Raw genomic sequence first — 2,593 nt, 5'->3', positions numbered from 1 at the left:
TACATAAGCACTTCTGAACCAGGACATAACCAAATTTGATGAGAGGACATTGATCTAATGACACAATATGTTTTACCTTCACAAACAACAATAATAATACCTCTTATTATTCTCTTTGATGAATCACAGGAGAAAGAATATCAAAAGCCATGAAAAGAAATCGATTTAAAAAATGAAAACCCAGTGAACCTGAATTTAGATTTGGATTTTTATTAATTTTCTATGTAAGCCTATTAACAATGCTATGCTTTATTATATTTGACTCTAAGACAGTTTTGTAATTCCTGAAACACATTTTCTTCACAATGAAATAATGAAAAATCATGAAATTATATCCATTTTAAATATTTAATTCTAAAGCATGTAGTTATTTCATTTGAGGCATCAAAGCATTTTTAATAATCATTAGGTATCTGAATCATTCCTGCTTCTACATATAGACAATGGTAAGGTCCAGTACCCTCTTCAAGGTCAAATACGGTATCATTCATTGTCAGATGAAAAGTCCAAACTCTCAGCTCACACACCCAGGTAACATTTTCATTTCAAAGTAATCTATAGAATACCTTTGGTTGAGAAGAAAAGGGGGGAAATTTCTTAATATCAATTCACATTTTATGTTTCTAAATAAAACATCCATATATTTTGTATAGGTACAGAAGACAGAGTTAACAGCTCAAACCATCACCATATAATTTTAAGAGCAATTATAATAAGTCTTGGGACTTCTATTGAAATTAAATCTTTTAGTACCCAAATCTATATTCCTCACCATTCACTGCTTTCAGAAAGAAAGAAAGAGAGGGAAGGAGGGAGGGAAGCACAGAAGAAGGAAGGAAGGAAGGAAGGAAGGAAGGAAGGAAGGAAGAAACGGAGGAAGGAAAGAAGGAAGGAAGGAAAGAAATTAAGGATGCAGGGAGGGAGGGATGGAGGGGAAAGCAGCATTAACTGAGCAATTGCCATGGCAACACAAAATGTGCAATCATCAATTGCTCATTGCTACAATGGGGAAGGGGCTACATTCTCAGCTTTGTCGTTAACAGAGTCAAGCAAAGAAATTTTGAAGAAGCAATAAAAGCCACTACAGCTACTCTATTCAGGATCAACTGATCGTGTTCCAGTTAAACACTCTATAAAATTTTTTTTCAGATCAGAAATGGGGTTCAGGAAAATTCCTCCCCAGCTGTTTTCTGCTGATAACTTAGGAGCAGTGGGAGAAAACTATACCTATGTCCTCCAGGAATTCTTGACCGCTAACTAGTTCATGCAACACTGAATACAGAATTTTAAAAATGATGTTAGTTTCAAAATATTTTAAGCATTTTTTGTTCTTTGGCCATAAAGACATTGCCTTCATAAAGACTCACATTGGCATATTGGCATGTTGTTAGCTACAATTTGAAAAAACAAATCTGTCCCATAAGTGGAAGGGAAACTAAAAATGAATAAATAATAAATTTTACACAAAGATAACAGAGGCTTTAATAAGAGGAATATAGATCACATTCATTGAGATATGTGCTTGTATTAGGTTTACTACCAGGTATTACTCATTATATTCAATATGAATGCCTGTACTTGATGATACTGTGTAAGTCAACCACATGGTAATTTACTTAAATTTATTAAGAAACAGAACATACTCATGACTTATAGAATTTCTCCTGGTACTTAGTATATACTTAATAAATCTAGGGTTTTTTTTCCTTTCATCCATGTCTTTTGCAAATTTGAAGTACAAGTCAATCCATGGCTCAAATTTTTGCTCTTTAGATCAAAGATTAAACTTTGATAACTTATTATTTTTCTAATCACCTCACACAGAGCTGGTGGCAAAATAAATAATCCTTATTTCCCACCATTTCTCACAGACTTTACTTCTCACCTATTAGCCTGTCCACCACCATTTTGAGCCAGATGTATGTCAAAGTGATTTTTTCCTGATTAGTTGAAAACTAGAAATATTAATTATATAGGCAACCTAAGCCATTGAAAGAACACACAGAAACCTTTCTTTAACTGGATATAGAAATCAAAGCTAATAAAATTCTGCATCTAAAGAATCTTTAAACTTTTTGTTTTAAAACTAGTTCGTTGCCCAGTTTGAAATATGGGTCTGCCAACATTTACAGTTACAATGCATAATTTTTAAAATGAGACATGTTCTGATAGAAACATTATTCCAGTTTGACACAAGAGCTAACAAGACTTCAGTCCAACTGTGACATTCCTTACCACAGTTGAAAGAAAATAATGTTTGCATTCAAAATACTTTCTTTGTTGTTCACAGCTACAGCATAGACTCAGAATGCATTTTCTATTAGTACTCTTTATTCCCCAAAGTTTTTCTACTCAGAGAAGCTAGAGTCAAGTATATAGATTTCAGCTTTTGGTACATAGGTTTCTTCCATCTGGTAATATATAGCCATACTTAAGACATAAGCAACATCCATCAAACAGACATAGGAGTGAATGTTTCACAATGTCCAACACTTACTGTATACTGATAAACCATAGCAGTTAACCTGAGCTTTTCATGAGTCTAAACACGAACCATGAACATTTTATTAAATATTATTACATTTATAATTTA

This window comes from Homo sapiens, chromosome 6 (assembly GCF_000001405.40).
Source record: "Homo sapiens chromosome 6, GRCh38.p14 Primary Assembly".
NCBI classification, from domain to species: domain Eukaryota; kingdom Metazoa; phylum Chordata; class Mammalia; order Primates; family Hominidae; genus Homo; species Homo sapiens.
This window is presented reverse-complemented; position numbering follows the sequence as displayed.